A 20,541-nucleotide genomic window follows, 5' to 3' on the forward strand; every position below is an offset into this window, starting at 1 on the left:
AAGAAACAGTCCTTTAAATCTATGACTATTAAAGGCCAATTTTTTTGAATTATAGCAGGAGAAAGTAATCCTGGCTGTAATGCTCCCATAGGTTGTATAACTGAATTGATGGCTCTTAAGTCAGTTAACATTCTCCATTTACCTGATTTTTTCTTAATTAAAAAAAACTGGAGAATTCCAAGGGGAAAATATTGGAGCTATGTGCCCATTTTCTAATTGTTCAACAACTAATTTCTCTAAAGCCTCCAGTTTTTCTTTACTTAGTGGCCATTGTTCTATCCAAATTGGCTTATCCATTAACCATTTTAAAGGTATAGGTTCGGAAGGCTTAACAATAGCCACCATAAAAAATGATATCTTAATCTTTGGTGGGAACTTTTTAAACCTTGCAAATTTTTTTCTAGTCCCATACCAGGGACATACCCCATTTCATGCATTGTTTGTTGATTTTCAGGGATATATAATTGATCTGGAATTAGAACTTGTGCTCTCCATTGTTGTAATAAATCTCTTCCCCATAAATGTATAGGTACAGAAGTGATAACTGGTTGAATAGTCCCAGGTTGTCCATCAGGCCCCTCACAATGCAAAATGTAACTATTTTGATATACTTCAGCAGCTTTACCAACTCCAACTATGTTAAATTGAGCGGGTTGAATTGGCCACATGGACGGCCAGTGCTGTAGAGAAATGATTGAAATGTCTGCTCCTGTATCTACCAAACCTTTACATTTCTTTCCCTGAATAGTTATTTCACAGGTAGGATGTTCATTAGTAATTTGATTCACCCAATAAGCTTCTTTGCCTTGTTTATTTGTGCTTCCAAATCCTCCTGTTCATTTAATTTCACTTTTTCCCATTCCCACATATGGCAAAATCAGGAGCTGTGCTATGTGCTCTCCTGGCTCTGCTTTCCAGGGAACAGAAGTAGATACAAGAATTTGAATTTCCCCATTGTAAACTGAATCAATGACTCCTGTATGTATTTGTACGCCTTTTAAACTTAAACTAGGCCTTCCTAAAAGTAATCCTATTTTCCCTGCTGGCAAGGGTCCACAGACTCCTGTTGGGACCTTTTGCTGGGGTTCCCCAGGCAGAAGGCTCACAGATTTTGTGCAGCATAAATCTAATGCGGCACTACCAGCTGTGGCTGGGGAAGGACATTGTACAGGGGTGAGGGAATGGCCTGAGCTGGAAATGCCCTGGTTTAGAATGGGGCCCGGGACGGGCCCCTCATGGTGTTTCCTGAGAATGAGTTCCCTTGTTTATCAAACTTAGAGTGACATTGACTAGCCCAATGTTTTCCTTTTTTACATTTTGGACATATTTCAGGCTCAACAGTTTTCTTTTTTCCTCTGTCTGGCGGCCTGACTCACTGACTTTTTCTACATTCTTTTTTAGTATGAATAGCTTGTTTAAATTCTTTGAGTAATTTAAAAGGGAAAGGCTCAAATGTAGCTATAATATTTCCCTGTTGATCTGGGGGGTGTATTCTAACAGGGAACTGCCAAGCCTCTAAATCACCCTCTTGTCTAGCTTGCTGAATTCCTGCCTGAATAGAACTAAGAGCTGTCACATGAGGCGCTGCTCGAACAGTCACTGGGGCAATTACTTTTTGCCCAGTGTCCTCCAGAAAAGAAAGATGTGGGGGGTCATCTTCATCAAAATAATAAGGAGGGGGTGCAGAAGGGTAGGGATGAATCTCTCCTTCCTTTGCTGCTTTAGCTTTAGCTGGCAAATAAACATGCTCTGTAACCTCTTCTGTTACTTCGCTATACTCTTGTTCCTCCTCATTACCAGTGTGAAAAAGTTCCAAGGTGAAATGAACCAGACCCCATACCTGTCCCATTGTTACCCTGACACTTCCGAGCTCCCCTTCTTACGCACGACAGGGATTGCTTTAAGAGTACTCGGGTGTCCTCCAGCTAGTTTCCCATTCCAACCATTGCTCTGGTGACCCTTCGACCTGGATATGAGCCCCCACAAATGGACACCACTTGCCAAGACCAGGTCAGTCAGAGAGACTCTAACCCAGTGGTGCTAGAGGAATTAAAGACACACACACAGAAATATAGAGGTGTGAAGTGGGAAATTGGGGGTCTCACAGTCTTCAGAGCTGAGAGCCCCAAACAGATATTTACCCACATATTTATTAACAGCAAACCGGTCATTAGCATTGTCTCTATAGATATTAAATTAACTAAAAGTATCCCTTATGGGAAACAAAGGGATGGGCCGAATTAAAGGAATAAGTTGGGCTAGTTAATTGCAGCAGGAACACACCCTTAAGACAGAGATCACTCATGCTATTGTTTGTGGCTTAAGAATGCCTTTAAGCGGTTTTCCGCCCTGGGCAGGCCAGGTGTTCCTTGCCCTCATTCTCGTAAACCCGCAACCTTCCAGCTTGGACGTTAGGGCCATTATGAACATGTTATGGTGCTGCAGAGATTTTGTTTATGGCCAGTCTTGGGGCCAGTTTATGGCCAGATTTTGGGGGACTTGCTCCCAACGGTCTCCTTCTAGGGGGTGACTGGGTAGCAGCCCAGGGTAGCTTTACAGGTTTGTGTTTTACACCAGTGCTGGGCACCCTGGTAGATACTTGATTATAATTCCTTAAACAGAGTTTTCCAAATTAAAATATACCTGTTTTTTATAGAAATGAAAAAGAAAAGAATTTCAAAGTTCATTGCAAAGATTCTTAACAAGAACTACTTACATTGGAAGAAAACCACAGAGAATTGTAAGGAGCCATGTGACAGAGAGGACCAGGATGCCATGAAAATGGCCTTGGCTACAAATAGGTCATTTGATCCTTGGCTCCCTGGCATCTCTCTAGATTTTCAATGATACAATGTTCAATCTGCTGTGCAAGATAATTTCATCTTGCAAAGATTTGATGTTACATTTTACCACACATTAAACTGAAATAAACTTTTACAGATTGGAAATGCACATCATTGATCAAAATAAATGAAACATGAAAAGAGTAGGAAGGAATACCCAGTGATGGAATAGCAAATATGAATGGAAAACAGAATAGGACTGCTAAAAAGAAAAAAAAAAATTCAGAAGCATGTAATAGCAGCGCTATTTAGAATCACAGTGGTGTCCAAATCACTTCTATCACATCTCATTCAATACCACAACAAAAGATGTTAAGTTTATTATAGAATGCCCATCAAATAGCCAGTTTTTGAAAAAAACTTGTTTCTCAATTAGAACTAACCATTTCAGGCTACAGCATCAAGCCAAAATTATTGGCATCATGCTAAGCTAGGTGTGTTTACTGAAGTATGAGATTCACATTTTTGTAAATGAAAAGCAATTTGATTAGGCATTTTTTTCTGCACAGCAAAAGAAACTATCATCAATCACAGTGAACAGACATCCTACAGAATGGGAGAAAAATTTTGCAGTCTATCCATCTGACAAAAGTCTAGTAATCAGAATCCACAAAGAACTTAAGCAAATTTACATGAAAAAAAACTTCAATAAAAAGTAGACAAAGAACTTGAACAGACACTTCTAAAGAAGACATACATGTGGCCAACAAAAATACGAAAAAAAGCTCAACATCGCTGATCATTAGAGAAATGCAAATCAAAACCACAAATGAGGTACCATCTCATGCCAGTCAGAATGGCAATTATTAAAAAGTCAAGAAACACCAGATGCTGGCGAGGTTGCAGAGAAATAGGAATGCTTTTACACTGTTGGTGGAAAAGTAAATTGGTTAATCCATTGTGGAAGACAGTGACAATGTGGTGATTCCTCAGAGATTTAGAATCAGAAATACCATTTGATCCAGCAATTGCATTACAGGGTATATACCCAAAGGAATATAAATCATTCTATTATAAAGATATATGCATGTTTACATTCATGGCAGCACTATTCACAATAGCAAAGACATGGAATCAACCCAAATGCCCATCAATGATGGACTGGATAAAGAAAATGTGGTACATATACACCATGGAATATTATGCAGCCATAAAAAGGAATGAGATCAAGTCCTTTGCAGGGATATGGATGAAGCTGGAAGCCATTATCCTCAGCAAACTCACACAGGAATGGAAAACCAAACACCACATGTTCTCATTTATAATTGGGAACTGAGTAATGAGAACACATGGACACAGGGAGAGGAACAACACACACTGGGGCCTATTGGGGCAGGGTGGTGGTGGGAGGATCATTAGCAAAAATAGCTAATGCATGCCAGGGTTAATACCTAGGTGATGAGTTGACAGGTGCAGCAAACCAACATGGCACATGTTTACCTATGTAACAAACCTGCACATCCTGCACGTGTACCCTGAAACTTAAAAAAAATTAAATTAAAAAACAAGCTTAAAGAAAAAGACAAGCTGAAAGAGTTAATGAAAAATAATTAGATAAAAGAAGTCTTTGATTTTCAAAAACCTGAAACAATAGTTATAATTTTGCTTTTAACATATATTCAAAACATTTGATACTGTTCCCTTCCAGAGGTGCATCTTAATTCCCTCTCCTGAGTGTGGCTTGGACTTAATGAGGCACTTCTGATATGGCCTGGTTCTGTGTTCCCACCCAAATCTCATCTTGAATTGTTATGCGAATTGTAATCCCTACCTATTGGGGGAGGGACCACATGGGAGGTGATTGGATAATGGAGGCGGTGCCCCCATGCTGTTCTCGTGATACTGAGGGAATTCTCATGCAATCTGATGGTTTTATAAGGGGCTTTTCCCTGCTTCATTCTGCATTTCTCTCTCCTGTCATCATGTGAAGAAGGATGTGTTTGCTTCCACTTCTGCCATGACTGTAAGTTTCCTGGGGCAGGCTCCTCAGCCATGCAGAACTGTGAGTCAATTAAACCTCTCTCCTTTATAAATTACCCAGTCTCAGGTATTTCTTTATAGCAGTGTGAGAATGGACTAATATAACTTCTAACTTACAGAATAATGCTGACATAATGGTTTGTGACTCTGGGTGTAGAACCTAAAACTCACTGTGGCTTCCACCTTCTCTCTCTCTGTCTCTGGGATCATGAGCTCTGGGGGAAGCCAGCTGCTGTGCCACAAGCAGCCCTGCAGGAAGGTCCATGTGGCTGAGAACCGAGGCGTTCTGGGAACAGACAACAAAGAACTAGGCCTTTTCCAACAGCCATATGACTGATCCATGTTTCATGTGAATCCTCAGCCCCAGTGAAGCCCTCAGATGATGCAGCCCTTGGCTGACAACTGTACTGCAACCTTGTGAGAGGCCCCGAGCAAGAAGCACTCAGGGAAACCTCTCCTGGACTCCTGACCATTGGAAACTGCGGCAGATGAGGAATATTTGTTGTTTTGAGCTAAGTTTTACATAATTTGTTATGCAATAGTAAATAAATAATACACTTTCACAAGAGAGGATGTATTATTACACATTAAATTGCATTTGCTTTAAATGTATCATCGTCATCATTATTATTTTTGAGACACGGTCTCGCTCTGTCACCCAGGCTGGAGTGCAGTGGCATGATCACCATGTACTGCAGTGTCGACCTCCTGGGGTCAAGGGACCCACTGATCTCAGCCTCCTGAGTAGCTGGGACTACCGTCATGAACTACTATGCCTGGCTAATTTTCTAATTTTTTGTATAGATGGGGGTTTTGCCCAGGCTGATCTTGAACTTCTGGAGTCAACAAATCTGCCTTCCTCTGCCTTCCACAGTGCTAGGATGGCAGGCATGAGCCACCATACCTGGCGTAAATTAATTATAAGATATTAAACACGTAACTTAGTTTTAAAAGGTAAGGAGAATTTCCATGGCTGAAGAGGATGTATTTTATGACCATTCACAATGATCACTTTACTTGAACTTCAATTTCCAACTGTGTCCGAAGTAAACACAAAAGGAAGATCCAACCCTTGCTAGGCTGATTCTATTATGCCCTCAACAACCAGCTCCTGGTCATTCACCATCCTCCAGTTATTCAATCAACTCTAATGTAGGTGCTGCTGTGAAGGGAGTTAGTGGATATAATTAAGGGTCTCAATTAGTTGACTTTAGGCTGGGTTTATCCTGCTTGGACTGTCCTAATCAGGTGAGACCTTGAAAGGACTGGGTTCTTCCTGAGCATAGAGACTCACAGTGTGAGAGGGACTCAGCATGAGGGGTTTCCTCCAGCATGGGCTTTGAAAATGAAGGGGCTGTGGGCCAGGTGCGGTGGCTCACGCCTGTAATCCCAGCACTTTGGGAGGATGAGGCGGGCGGATCACGAGGTCAGGAGATCGAGACCATCCTGGCTAACACGGTGAAACCCTGTCTCTACTAAGAATACAAAAAAAAAAAAAAAAATAGCCAAGCGTAGTGGCGGGTGCCTGTAGTCCCAGCTGCTTGGGAGGCTGAGACAGGAGAATGGCGTGAACCCGGGAGCCATAGCTGGCAGTAAGCCGAGATCCCGCCACTGCACCCAAGCCTGGGCTACAGAGCGAGACTCCATCTCAAAAAAATAAATAAATAAAATTAAAAATGAAGGGGCTGTGTAGGAAAGAATGCTGGTGAGGACCAGGAATCAAGCACAGCCCTCCCTGTTCTCTACATTGACAGCCAGCAAGGAACAGGGACCTCAGTCTTACAACTGCCAGAAACTGCATTCTGCCACCTCTGTATAAGCCTGAAGGAGGATTCAAAATGAAAACACAGCTTTTGGAAGCCCAGAAGAGAGATTCCATCCACATTTTGCCCAGATTTCTGATCAAGGAACTATAAGCAGATAAATGGGTGTTGTTTCGCCAGGCGTGGTAGTGCACGAATGAATTGATGAATTGATATGCACACTAGTTACATAAAATAAAATCTTTCTGAACTTCTTCCGTGTTTTGCACTTTATAATTATCTGTAATGCAATTTAATACACTCATATTTCATTCATTCAGTCGACAAAAATTAATTTAGTCCCTACGATAAACCAGATATCCCCTCATATGCTCACGTGCCTGACACTCCAGAAGTTTCACAAGACCGAGGTGGAGACACTGGAGTGTTTTAAGTGGAGAGATGACACATTCTGACTCCCAGGAGCAGGACCACTGTGAAAAGAACAGTCACGTAACAGGTCATGGGACAGTGCTAGTGTCACAATTCACAAGTGACAGTGTGGTGGGGACTAAGGGGACAGGACGGCCTGAAGGATGAGAAGAATGGAGGGAAGGGTTGGAGAAGCAGGAGGTGAAGAAAAGGAGCAGAGGAAAGAATTCGAAAGCAGCAGAATTCTTAGGTTTAAATACATTGTTTTATGGATTTTAATACATCCATCTACAGAGCCCTGCAGGATGTCCTTGGCAGTTGGCCTTTAATACTTTATGTGGGTCTGCCTAAAAACTAATTTTTTAATGTTAATCAGGTTTAAAAATTACTAAGTGTTCCTATAAAATATACACAACACTTAGCAGTGGATACTTCCTAAAAACAGACAGTGCATGAGCACTAGTGAGGGGCATTGCGACTACATTGAACAGTTGCAACTTTGAGGTGAATAAAGCCTGTACTGACTCCTGGTTGTAACGTACCTGGTTGCAAAGTACACAGTGTGCTACTTTGTATTGAGGAGATATCCTGGACTCACACAGAAACTCAAAGCTATGGAATGATGGCAAATTTAAAATATGACAAGCGGGAGTCACAGGTACACTGCAAAAGTGAAACTTAGAAGCTTTGTGAGTCCTGTTGTAACGCTTTTGGGCACATTTATACATCATGGGGCCAAAGTCACATTTTTTACCGATTAGATTCCTGATCATTCAGGGGTTACCAAGGTTCTGCTATCCAATGTATTTAATAAACAAATAAATAAATAAACTGGTCTCTATTCTGTCTCATGCACTCAGGCACAACTTTTCCCAATAAAAAAAAAAAACAAAAAGGAAAACAAAAAACAGTTTCTACACCTCCATTCCCAGAGCAAGCTCACTCTCTGTCACCAAACTCCGTGGGTGAGTTTTCTTCTAGAAGAGTCCAGGTGGACAGGGAGTCCAGTTCAGGGACGGAGATTCCGGGATGAAAAGTGAAGGGAGAGGGACAGGGCCCATGCCGAGGGTTTCTTCCTGGTTTCTCAGACAGCTCCTGGGCCAAGACTCAGGGAAACACTGAGACAGAGCGCTTGGCACAGGAGGAGCGGGGTCAGGGCGAAGTCCCAGGGCCCCAGGCGTGGCTCTCAGGGTCTCAGGCCCCGAAGGCGGTGTATGGATTGGGGATGCCCCGCCTTAGGGATTCGCCACCTCCGCAGTTTCTCTTCTTCTCACAACCTGCGACGGGTCCTTCTTCCTTGATACTCACGAAGCGGACACAGTTCTCATTCCCACTAGGTGTCGGGTTTCTAGAGAAGCCAATCGGTGCCGCCGCGGTCCCGGTTCTAAAGTCCCCACGCACCCACCGGGACTCAGATTCTCCCCAGACGCCGAGGATGGTGCTCATGGCGCCCCGAACCCTCCTCCTGCTGCTCTCAGGGGCCCTGGCCCTGACCCTGACCCAGACCTGGGCGCGTGAGTGCAGGGTCTGCAGGGAAATGGTCGGGAGGAGCGAGGGGCCCGCCCGGCGGGGGCGCAGGACCCGGGGATCCGCGCAGGGAGGAGGGTCGGGCCGGTCTCAGCTCCTCCTCGCTCCCAGGCTCCCACTCCATGAGGTATTTCTACACCACCATGTCCCGGCCCGGCCGCGGGGAGCCCCGCTTCATCTCCGTCGGCTACGTGGACGATACGCAGTTCGTGCGGTTCGACAGCGACGACGCGAGTCCGAGAGAGGAGCCGCGGGCGCCGTGGATGGAGCGGGAGGGGCCAGAGTATTGGGACCGGAACACACAGATCTGCAAGGCCCAGGCACAGACTGAACGAGAGAACCTGCGGATCGCGCTCCGCTACTACAACCAGAGCGAGGGCGGTGAGTGACCCCGGCCCGGGGCGCAGGTCACGACCCCTCCCCATCCCCCACGGAGGGCCGGGTCGCCTCGAGTCTCTGGGTCCGAGATCCACCCCGAAACCGCGGGACCCCGAGACCCTTGACCTGGGAGAGGCCCAGGCGCCTTTACCCGGTTTCATTTTCAGTTTAGGCCAAAACCCCCGCGGGTTGGTCGGGGCAGGGCGGGGCTCGGGGGACCGGGCTGACCGCGGGGGCGGGGCCAGGTTCTCACACCATGCAGGTGATGTATGGCTGCGACGTGGGGCCCGACGGGCGCTTCCTCCGCGGGTATGAACAGCACGCCTACGACGGCAAGGATTACATCGCCCTGAACGAGGACCTGCGCTCCTGGACCGCGGCGGACATGGCAGCTCAGATCACCAAGCGCAAGTGGGAGGCGGCCCGTCGGGCGGAGCAGCTGAGAGCCTACCTGGAGGGCGAGTTCGTGGAGTGGCTCCGCAGATACCTGGAGAACGGGAAGGAGACGCTGCAGCGCGCGGGTACCAGGGGCCACAGGGCGCCTCCCGGATCGCCTGTAGATCTCCGGGGCTGGCCTCCCACAAGAAAGGGAGACAAATGGGACCAACACTATAATATCGCCCTCCCTCTGGTCTTGAGGGAGAAGAATCCTCCTGGGTTTCCAGAGAGTGACTCTGAGGGTCCGCCCTGCTCTCTGACACAATTAAGGGATGAAATCTGTGAGGAAATGAAGGGAAGACAATCCCTGGAATACTGATGAGTGGTTCCCTTTGACACTGGCAGCAGCCTTGGGCCCCGTGACTTTTCCTCTCAGGCCTTGTTCTCTGCTTCACACTCAATGTGCGTGGGGGTCTGAGTCCAGCTCTTCTGAGTCCCTCAGCCTCCACTCAGGTCAGGACCAGAAGTCGCTGTTCCCTCTTCAGGGACTAGAATTTTCCACGGAATAGGAGATTATCCCAGGTGCCTGTGTCCAGGCTGTTGTCTGGGTTCTGTGCTCCCTTCCCCACCCCAGGCATCCTGTCCATTCTCAAGATGGCCACATGCGTGCTGGAGGAGTGTCCCATGACAGATGCAAAATGCCTGAATTTTCTGACTCTTCCCGTCAGACCCCCCCCAAGACACATATGACCCACCACCCCATCTCTGACCATGAGGCCACCCTGAGGTGCTGGGCCCTGGGCTTCTACCCTGCGGAGATCACACTGACCTGGCAGCGGGATGGGGAGGACCAGACCCAGGACACGGAGCTCGTGGAGACCAGGCCTGCAGGGGATGGAACCTTCCAGAAGTGGGCGGCTGTGGTGGTGCCTTCTGGAGAGGAGCAGAGATACACCTGCCATGTGCAGCATGAGGGTCTGCCCGAGCCCCTCACCCTGAGATGGGGTAAGGAGGGAGATGGGGGTGTCATGTCTCTTAGGGAAAGCCGGAGCCTCTCTGGAGAGCTTTAGCAGGGTCAGGGTCCCTCACCTTCCCCCCTTTTCCCAGAGCCATCTTCCCAGCCCAACGTCCCCATCGTGGGCATCGTTGCTGGCCTGGTTCTACTTGTAGCTGTGGTCACTGGAGCTGTGGTCGCTGCTGTAATGTGGAGGAAGAAGAGCTCAGGTAAGGAAGGGGTGAGGAGTGTGGTCTGAGATTTCTTGTCTCACTGAGAGTTCCAAGCCCCAGGTAGAAGTGCCCTGCCTGGTTACTGGGAAGCACCATCCACACTCATGGGCCTACCCAGCCTGGGCCGTGTGTGCCAGCACTTACTCTTTTGTAAAGCACCTGTTACAATGAGGGACAGATTTATCACCTTGATGACTGTGGTGATGGGACCTGATCCCAGCAGTCACAAGTCACAGGGGAAGGTCCCCAAGGACAGACCTCAGAAGGGCGGTTGGTCCAGGACCCATATCTGCTTTCTTCATGTTTCCTGATCCCACCCTGGGTCTGCAGTTGCACATTTCTGGAAACTTCTCTGGGGTCCGAGACTTGGAGGTTCCTCTAGGACCTTATGGCCCTGGCTTCTTTCTGGCATCTCACAGGACATTTTCTTCCCACAGATAGAAAAGGAGGGAGCTACTCTCAGGCTGCAAGTAAGTATGAAGGAGGCTGATCCCTGAAATCCTTTGGATATTGTGTTTGGGAGCCCATGGGGGAGCTCACCCACCCCACAATTCTTCCTCTAGCCACATCTACTGTGGGATCTGACCAGGTCCTGTTTTTATTCTACTCGAGGCAGCAACAGTGCCCAGGGCTCTGATGTGTCTCTCACGGCTTGAAAGGTGAGACCTTGGGGGGCCTGATGTGTGGGGGATGTTGGGGGGGAACAGTGGACACAGCTGTGCTATGGGGTTCTTTGAATTTGATGTTTTGAGCATGCGATGGGCTGCCAAAGTGTCATCCATTACTGGGACAGATATGAATTTGTTCATGAATATTTTTTCTATAGTGTGAGACAGCTGCCTTGTGTGGGACTGAGAGGCAAGAGTTGTTCCTGCCTTCCCTTTGTGACTTGAAGAACCCTGACTTTCTTTCTACAAAGGCACCTGAATGTGTCTGTGTTCCTGTAGGCATAATGTGTGGAGGAGGGGAGACCAACCCACCCTCATGTCCACCATGACCCTCTTCCCCACGCTGATCTGTGTTCCCTCCCCAATCATCTTTCCTGTTCCAGAGAGGAGGGGCTGAGATGTCTCCATCTTTTTCTCAACTTTATGTGCACTGAGCTGTAACTTCTTACTTCCCTCTTAAAATTAGAATCTGAGTAAACATTTACTTTTTCAAATTCTTGCCATGAGAGGTTGATGACTTAATTAAAGGAGAAGATTCCTAAAATTTGAGAGACAAAATAAATGGAACACATGAGAACCTTCCAGAGTCCATGTGTTTCTTGTGCTGATTTGTTGCAGGGGAGGAGAATAGATGGGGCTGTGCCTAGTGGGTGCTCAGGCCAGTATGGACTTTATGTGGTCACTGCTCAGCTGGGTCATCTTTGCTCCTTCATTCTCCTTGGCCCTTCAGTAGAACCTTGTCCTACCACCACCTGTGATCACAGGGACTTGGATGTCACCTACGGTGGTCCCTGCATACAAATCTCATTGTGGTATCAAGAGACTAATTTTCAGACCTGTCCAGCTCTTGCCCTCCTCCCAGGGCTCTTTCCTGGATTGTATTTTTCATCTTGCCTCCAATCTTTTTAAAGGAAGCAGATTCTAAAATTTGCAGAGAGGAGGGGTCCCATAGTTTCTCATCATAGTGAACTTTTTGTTGGAGCTCCTCTTCTGCTCTCTTACTCTTCTTCCTTCCCTGAGTTGTAGTAATCCTAGTGCTGGCTCCAATCCAAACTCATGGATTTACAAAGCAGAGTCTAATTTAGATTCATACGTGGTTGGAAAATTGTACCCATAAGCCTAGGGTTATCTTTCCTGAAGAGAAAAATATGGTTGTGTGCTGCAGTGTGCAAGAGGGTTGGTGTGGGAGGAGGTAGGGAGGGAGGGAGGACACACAAGCAGTCCTAGTGAGAAAAGCACTGGCGGCATCGATGTCCACATGAGATGATGTTGTTCTTTAGCTGCCACAAAACAGCATTTGCCCTGAGGCTACCTTAACAAAGATATTGGCTTCAGAATAGAGAAGTGCTTTACAGTGATCATTCATTCAACTGACATTTGTTGTCTGCTAGGGATATGACTGCTTTTGCATTTAGAAAGCATCATTAAGGTGAAAATAGAAAAATTTCTGGCGTTGTGGTACATATGTTCTAGATGCTAGCTTGTCCAACCCATAGCTCGCAGGCTGAATGTGGCCCAGGACAGTTTTGAATGTGAGGAGTTTTTGCTTTTCTGTGGCGGACCTGAGACCTGGAGTGAGTGCACCCACCTCCCTCAGGATCAGGAGTGAATGCTTTAGGAACCCTCCTTTGCAGTGACCTGCAAAAGATAGAGGGCACAGTTACTGTGAGAACCCAGAGTAGCAGCCAAAGGGGCTCAACCTTCATGGAGTTTTGGGAAAGGTTAGTAAAAGGTGGTGTCCCAGCGTCAGAACAGATGGGCAGCCAGCGAGGGCACTGCTTCATATCTATGATGGGAATGCAAGAATTGAGGAGCAGGAGACTGAGGGTGTTTGACTAAATACAAAGTCATGATCCCAGTCTCAATTCCTAGACTTCAGCCAAGCTTCAGATTCAGAATCCACAGTGGGGCTTAAGGAGGCCAGGAAGTAAACCTGGACACATTATGGCCCACTGTGGGACCACTGGGTTCATAAACCCAGTCCTGGTTATCTCCCCATTCTCCACATGCATAATTGGCCTTGATGCACTGGCAAAGAGGGTCACCCCCACACTACATCCCTAGTCTGGAGAGTAAGGGCTATCATTGTGCTGAAGCCCAAAGGGAATCATCATCTAAAACTTCCCTCATCCCAACCAAGCCAGAAGCAATATTGCGCCCCAGGTGGGACTTCAGGAGGGTACTGCAGATATTGTAGGGGTGGCACTGCCATTAGAGAGCTGAAGGATGGGGGGTGGTGTTGGGATTGCCTATTATCTCCATATAATTCAGCAGTCTATCCCTGAAGAAGCCTGATAAAGAATGAATGGAATTACTCCAGACTTGACCAAGTAGGAGTCCTGATTGCAGCTGCCATGCTGGCTGGATATCACTGCTTGGGGAGATTAATAAGGCCTCAGGCACATGGCAAACAGCCATGCATTTGGTGAGTGCATTCTTTCCCATTCCATTTAGAAAATGGATATGGAATGATTCACATTCACATGGGATTTATAATACATTTATTGATAGCTTGCCTCAGGGCTACTTTAACTCCTCAACCTTCTATAAATATCACCTTAAGAGATCTGGACAAATCAGACATCTCACAGAATACTAAATCTCTTCATTTCATTGGCAATATCACATAGATTGGGATGGATGAGCAAGAGGAGGAAAGTATGCTGAGTTCTTTGGCAAAACATGTGCACTACAGAAGGTGAAGATTAACCTTACAGAGCTTCAAGAGTGGCCACTGCAGTGAAGTGTTATGGGTCCAGTGGTTAGGGGCATGCAGGGCTGTCCTCTCCAAAGTAAAAGACAAACTTGCATCTTGCATCCTCAACAGAAGGAAGGAAGCACACTACCTGGTGAGCTTCTCTGTGTCCTGGCAACACCACATTCCACATCTAAGTATATTGTTTGGCCCACTGTCTGGGTATAATATAGGAAGAGGTCAGCTTTGAGTGCGGACTAGACAGGAAAGGACACTGCAGCAGATCCAGGCGGTGGTGTACCAGGTCATCAACCCTCAGTCCCCTGGTGCTGGGGGTGACAGTGTGGGGAAAGATGCTAGATGGAGCTGAACCAAGCAGCTGAGATCAAGTGAGCTGAGATCCCGCCCCTACACTCCAGCCTGAGCAACAAGAGTGAAACTCCATCTCAAAAAGAAAAAAAAAAAATTAAAAGGATAAGCACCCTCCCACATCAGAGATAACTCTCCAACACATAATGTACATGCGGTGTGAGTTCTCTGTATGGGGAAGTTAAAAAAAAAACAGGTCAAACTGTGATTTGGGTATATATATACTTATTGTAAAAATCTTCAGTGACAATGCCAAGGAATAGCAAATACAAGACTCAAGACATAGGTTCCTTTTAGGGGATAGGATTGGACAACAGCCTAGGGTGGCTTCATAGGTTCTGTTTCTTATGCCAGGAGGGGATATCCAGGTAGTTAGTTACTTGATCATAAAACTTTATTTATTTATTTATATATTTTGAGTCTCGCTCTTGTTGCCCAGGCTGGAGTACAGTGGCATGAACTCAGTTCACTGCAACCTCCGCCTCCCAGGTTCAAGGGATTCTCCTGCCTCAGCCTCCTGAGCAGCTGGGATTGCAGGCAAATGCCACCACTCCCAGCTAATTTTTGTATTTTTAGTAGAGACGGGCTTCACCATGTTGACCAGGTTGGTCTGGAACTCCTGACCTCAGGTGATCCACCCACTTCAGCCTACCAAATTGCTGAGATTACAGGCATGAGCCACCACTCCTGGCCCACAAATCTTTAAAGTGGTATTTTTCAAAATGCACCTTGTGTGCCATTCCTGATTGATTATTTGGAAATGAAAGAGAAAAGAAAATGCCAAAGTTCATCACAAGCATCCTTTGCGATAACTACTCATAGTAAAACAAAGCCGCAGCTGGCCGGGCACGGTGGCTCACTTCTGTGATCCTAGCACTTTGGGAAGTCGAGGCCTGTGGATCACGAGATCAGGAGTTCGAGACCAGCCTGACCAACATGGTGAAACCTTGTCTTTACTAAAAATACAAAAATTAGCTGGGCGTGTTGGTGCGTGTCTGTAATCCAAGCTACTCAGAAGGCTGATGCAGGAGAATCGTTTGAACCTGGAAGGCAGAAGTTGCAGTGAGCTGAGATCCTGCCATCGCACTCCAGCCTGGGTGACAGAGCCATACTCCATCTCAAAACGAACAAACAGACAACTACAAAAAACAAGCCACAGCCAATTTTAAGGAGCCATGTGAGAGGACCAGGATGCCATGAAAAACAGCCTTGGCTACAAATAGGTCATTTGATCCTTGGCTAGTTGGCGACTCTCTACATTTTCTGATACACAGTGTTCAATCTGATAGGCAAGGCAATAGTATCTTGCAAAGAATTTGAGAATTTGATATGTTGCTCACATTTTACCACACAAACAAGTGAACTAAACTTTTACAGAATAGAAAAAAAGCATTGTTGAGCAAAATAAATTAAATGAAAAGACATAAATGAATAACTAGTGATGAAATAGCAATAAGAATGGAAAACACGAAAGAGCTGCTTTTAAAGCAACATTAGAAGCACAAAATAACAGTGTTTTTCAGAATCATACTGGAGTCCAAATCACTTCTACCACATCTAATTAAAAACCACAGTGAAAGATGTTAAACTGATCACAGGATGCCCACTGAATAGCCAGTTACTGAAAAATCTTGTTCCTAGATTGAAGTTAACCATTTCCACCTACCACATCAAACCAAATCATTGTCATGATGCTAAGCTAGTTGTACAGACAAAGATGTGAGACTCACATTTTTCTAATTGCAAAGCACCCTGATTAGGCAAATATTTTTGTAGATGCTTGAGTCAGAAAATTGTCATTTTGGGCATTCTTTTTTTTTTTTTTTTTTGCCTTCAAGCATCTGTTTAACAAAGCACATCTTGCACCGCCCTTAATCCATTTAACCCTTAGTGGACACAGCACATGTCTCAGAGAGCACGGGGTTGGGGGTAAGGTTATAGATTAACAGCATCCCAAGGCAGAAGAATTTTTCTTAGTACAGAACAAAATGGAGTCTCCTATGTCTGCTTCTTTCTACACAGACACAGCAACAATCTGATTTCTCTGTCTTTTCCCCACATTTCCCCCCTTTCTATTCGACAAAACCGCCATCATCATCATGGCCCGTTCTCAATGAGCTGTTGGGTACACCTCCCAGACAGGGTGGCGGCCGGGCAGAGGGGCTCCTCACTTCCCAGACGGGGTGGCCAGGCAGAGGTGCCCCCCACCTCCTGGACGGGGTGGCTGGCCGGGCGGGGGCTGCCCCCCACCTCCCTCCCGGACGGACGGCTGGCCGGGCAGGGGCTGCCCCCCACCTCCCTCCTGGACGGGGCGGCTGGCCGGGCGGGGGCTGCCCCCCACCTCCCGGACGGGGCGTCTGCCGGGCGGAGACTCTCCTCACTTCCCAGACTGGGCGGCTGCTGGGTGGAGGGGCTCCTCACCTCTCAGACGGGGCGGCCGGGGAGAGACGCTCCTTACCTCCCAGACGGGGTCGCGGCCGGGCAGAGGCGCTCCTCACATCCCAGACAAGGCGGCAGGGCAGAGGCGCTCCCCACATCTCAGATGATGGGCGGCCGGGCAGAGACGCTCCTCACTTCCTAGACGGGATGGCGGCCGGGAAGAGGCTGCAATCTTGGCACTTTGGGAGGCCAAGGCAGGCGGCTGGGAGGCAGAGGTTGTAGCGAGCCGAGATCACGCCACTGCACTCCAGCCTGGGCAACATTGAGCACTGAGTGAGTGAGACTCCGTCTGCAATCCCGGCACCTCAGGAGGCCGAGGCTGGCAGATCACTCGCAGTTAGGAGCTGGAGACCAGCCTGGCCAACACAGCGAAATCCCGTCTCCACCAAAAAAATATGAAAACCAGTCAGGCGTGGTGGCGCGTGCCTTCAATCCCAGGCACTCGGCAGACTCTAAATTATTCAATGCCTCAGACACTAACTTTCCAAGGAATAGGAGATTATCCCAGGTGCCTGTGGCCAGGAGGTGTCTGGGTTCTGTTCTCCCTTCCCCACCCCAGATGTCCTATCCATTCTCAGGATGGTCACATGGGTGCTGCTGGAGTGTCCCATGAGGAATGCAAAGTGCCTGAATTTTCTTACTCTTCCCCTCAGAATCCCAGAATACATGTGGGATCCACTACCCCATCTCGGACCATGAGGCCACCCTGAGGTGCTGGGTCCCGGGCTTCTACCATGTGGAAATCACAGTGACCCAACTGTGGGATGGGGAGGACCAAATTTAGGACACAGAGCTTGTGGGGACCAGACCTGCAGGGTATAGAACCTTCCAGAAGTGGGCAGCTGTGGTGCTGTCTTCTAGAGACAAGTAGAGATACACATGCCATGTGCAGCAGGAGGCACTGCCAGAGCCCCTCACACTGAGATGGGCTAAGGAGATGAATGAGGGGCCATGTCTCTTCTCAGGGAAAGCAGGAGCCTTTCTGGAGGCCTTCAGCAGGGTCAGGGCTGAGGCCTGGGGGTCAGGACCCCTCACGTTCCCCTCCTTTCTTAGGGCCATCTTCCCAGCCCACATTCCCCATCGTGGGCATTGTTACTGTCCTGGTTGTTCTAGGTGCTGTGGTCACTGCTGTGATGTGGAAGAATAAGACCCCAGGTAGGAAAGGGGTGAGTTCCAAGATTTCTTCTTCCATTCGTGGATTTCAAGCTCCAGATGGAAGTTGGCTCATTTCCTGCCTAGTTGTGAGACACTATCTCCACACACATTTACCCTGTTCAGATGCCATGTCAACTCTCACTCTTTTGTAAAGCACCTGTGAAATTGAAGGACAAATTTATCACCTTGATTGTGATCATGGGAACCTGACTCCCAGCAGTCACAAGTCAGGAGAATGTTCCTGCTGAGGACAGATGTCAAAAGGACATTTGGTTCAGCTTCAACACATCCTCTTCCCTCGGGTTTCCTGATCCTGACCTGGGTCTGCAGTCACAGTTCTGGAAACTCCTCTAGGATTTCATGGCCCTGCCTCTTCCCTGGCGTCTCACAGTTTGTTTTCTTTCCTCATATGGAAAAGGAGTCAGCTATGCTCAGGCTTCAAGTAAGTGTGGTAGGGGTGGGAGAATGATTCCTGAGATCCTTGGAATAGTGTAGACAGGAGCCCATGGGGGAGCACAGCCACCCCAAAATTCCTCCTTTAGTCACATCACCTGTGGGCTCTGACCAGACTTTGTTTTTGTTCCACCCCAAACAGGAACAGTACCCAGGGCTCTGATGTGTCTCTCAAGTCTTGTAAAAGTGGCACCTTAGAGGGCCTGAAGTGAAGGAGGAGTTGGGGCAGATGGGACACAACTAGGCTCTAGAGAGTCTTTGATTTGGAATTTTTCAATGTGTGGTGGGCTGTTCAGTGTCACCACTTACCATGACTGACTTGAATTTGTTCATGACTATTTTCTTTCTAAGACTGCCTTGTGAGGGACTGAGATGCAAGATTTGTTCATGGCTCCACTTTGAGACTTCAAGGGCCTCTGTCTTCTCTTTCTGCCAAGGCATCTGAATGTGTCTATGTCCCTGGTAACATGTGAGAAGTGGAGAGACCAGCCCACCCTCATGTCCACCATGACCCCTGATACTGTTTGGATCTGTGTCCCCACCCAAATCTCATGCTCACTTGTAATCCCTAATGTTGGAGGTGGTGCTTGGTGGGACGTGATTGGCTCATGAGGATGGATCATTCATGAATGGTTTAGAATCATCTCTTTCATGCTGTTCTTGTGATAGTTCTTGGAGGCATTGTGCCACCTCCCTAGGGATCTGTGGAACTTTAAACTTGAGAGTGATGATTAAGGGTATCTGATGGAAGAAATTTCTCAGTAGCATAGAATTCAGGATTTGGTCTGGCTGCCTGTAATAGCCTATGTGCATATGTGTGAGCAAAGAAACGACCCAAAACTGGAACTGATATTTAAATGGGGAAATTTAATACCCAGGACAATTCTTAGCAGAGCTGCAGCAGTAGGACCCCTGCCAGGACTACTAAATGGTAGAGCCACTGGCTATGTGCAACCTCAGCCTGGAAAAGCCATAGGCATTCAATTTTCTCCCATGACAGCAGCTATATGGGTTATGTTCAGCAAAGCCATAAATGTGGAGCTGCAAATGGCATTAGGAGCCCAGCAGTTGCACCAGCCACTGTGCTCTGGATTCAAAATATACAGTCAAAGGAGATTCTTTTAGACCTTTAAGTTTTAATGTCTGCCATGATGAGTTTCAATCTTGTGAGGAAACTGCATTCATTTCTTTTGGCCCATTTATATACCTTTTGGAATGGAAATGTACAAGAAATGTCTCTTCCACTGTTGTATTAATATTTTAGATGTAAATAACATTTTTTAAAAAAAATTTTACAGGCTCAAAGCTATAAGAATTTATCTTGAGTCTCAGATGAGACTCTGGAATTTTGAGTTGATGCTGGAACAACCTAACACATTTGGGACAATTGGGAGAAGATTATTATATTTTGCAATGTGAGAAGAACATGACCTTTGGCTGGCTAGGGAGGGGATGCAATGATATAAACATTTATCCCCTGATACCTCATGTTAAAATCTGATGCCCACTGTGGGACGTGGGGCCTAATGGCCACCATTTGGGTCATGGTGACCAATCTTTTATGAATAGAGAGATACTGCCCTCTCTTGGGAATGAATGAATTGTTGCTTTATTATTTTCCAAGAGAGCTAGTTGTTAAAAAGACCCTGGCAACTTCCTACTCTCTCTGTTCCTCTGTTACCATGTGTTCTCTGCATATACCAGCTCACCTTTGTCTTCTGCCATGAGTGGAAGCAGCCTGAGGCCCTCACTAAATGCGCAAACATTTCCAGACATCAGAATCTTGAGCCACATGAACCTTGTTTATATAAATTAGTCAGTCTCAGACATTTCTTTATAGCAACACAAAATGGAAAAAGATAACACTCGCATCACAGGTATGTGTCTCTGGCAGCTAGCCACCGTTCTTAAGATATCCAGGATCCACTCAGCCAAGAGTCTTCTCATCAGTACTCTAAAGACACTTATCACTCAAGAGAGTCTAAGGTTTTTAGGAGAAACCAGGGACAAAGTCTAAATGTTTTTGTGATAACTCAGATTGCCCACTTTTCTTTGACCACATATCTTTTACAGGAAAAAGGATTGTAACAGTAAAGAGGTATTGGCATATTATCAGAGTCTCATCCATTCATTCAAAATTAGGCCAGTTTATCATCCTCTTGTATGAATATGTCTCCCAGAATGAAATCACTCAGCTTTGCTGACAACACTCAATCTTACCAGGTTCCAAAAACAAGAATGGTCTCAGGGACATA

At 46.8% G+C, this 20,541-nt stretch overlaps 3 pseudogenes across 1 annotated transcript; 2 read left to right on the forward strand and 1 right to left on the reverse strand.

Moving 5' to 3' along the window:
• Positions 6,791 to 7,688, reverse strand: HCG4P7 (HLA complex group 4 pseudogene 7; annotated as a pseudogene).
• On the forward strand, positions 8,254 to 11,760 carry HLA-H (major histocompatibility complex, class I, H (pseudogene); annotated as a pseudogene). The gene is made up of 8 exons (NR_001434.4): positions 8,254 to 8,511; positions 8,636 to 8,905; positions 9,148 to 9,423; positions 10,009 to 10,285; positions 10,388 to 10,504; positions 10,945 to 10,977; positions 11,120 to 11,166; positions 11,334 to 11,760. The product of NR_001434.4 is annotated as a major histocompatibility complex, class I, H (pseudogene) (transcript).
• Positions 17,124 to 19,628, forward strand: HLA-T (major histocompatibility complex, class I, T (pseudogene); annotated as a pseudogene).

Source organism: Homo sapiens, chromosome 6 (genome assembly GCF_000001405.40).
Source record: "Homo sapiens chromosome 6, GRCh38.p14 Primary Assembly".
NCBI lineage: Eukaryota > Metazoa > Chordata > Mammalia > Primates > Hominidae > Homo > Homo sapiens.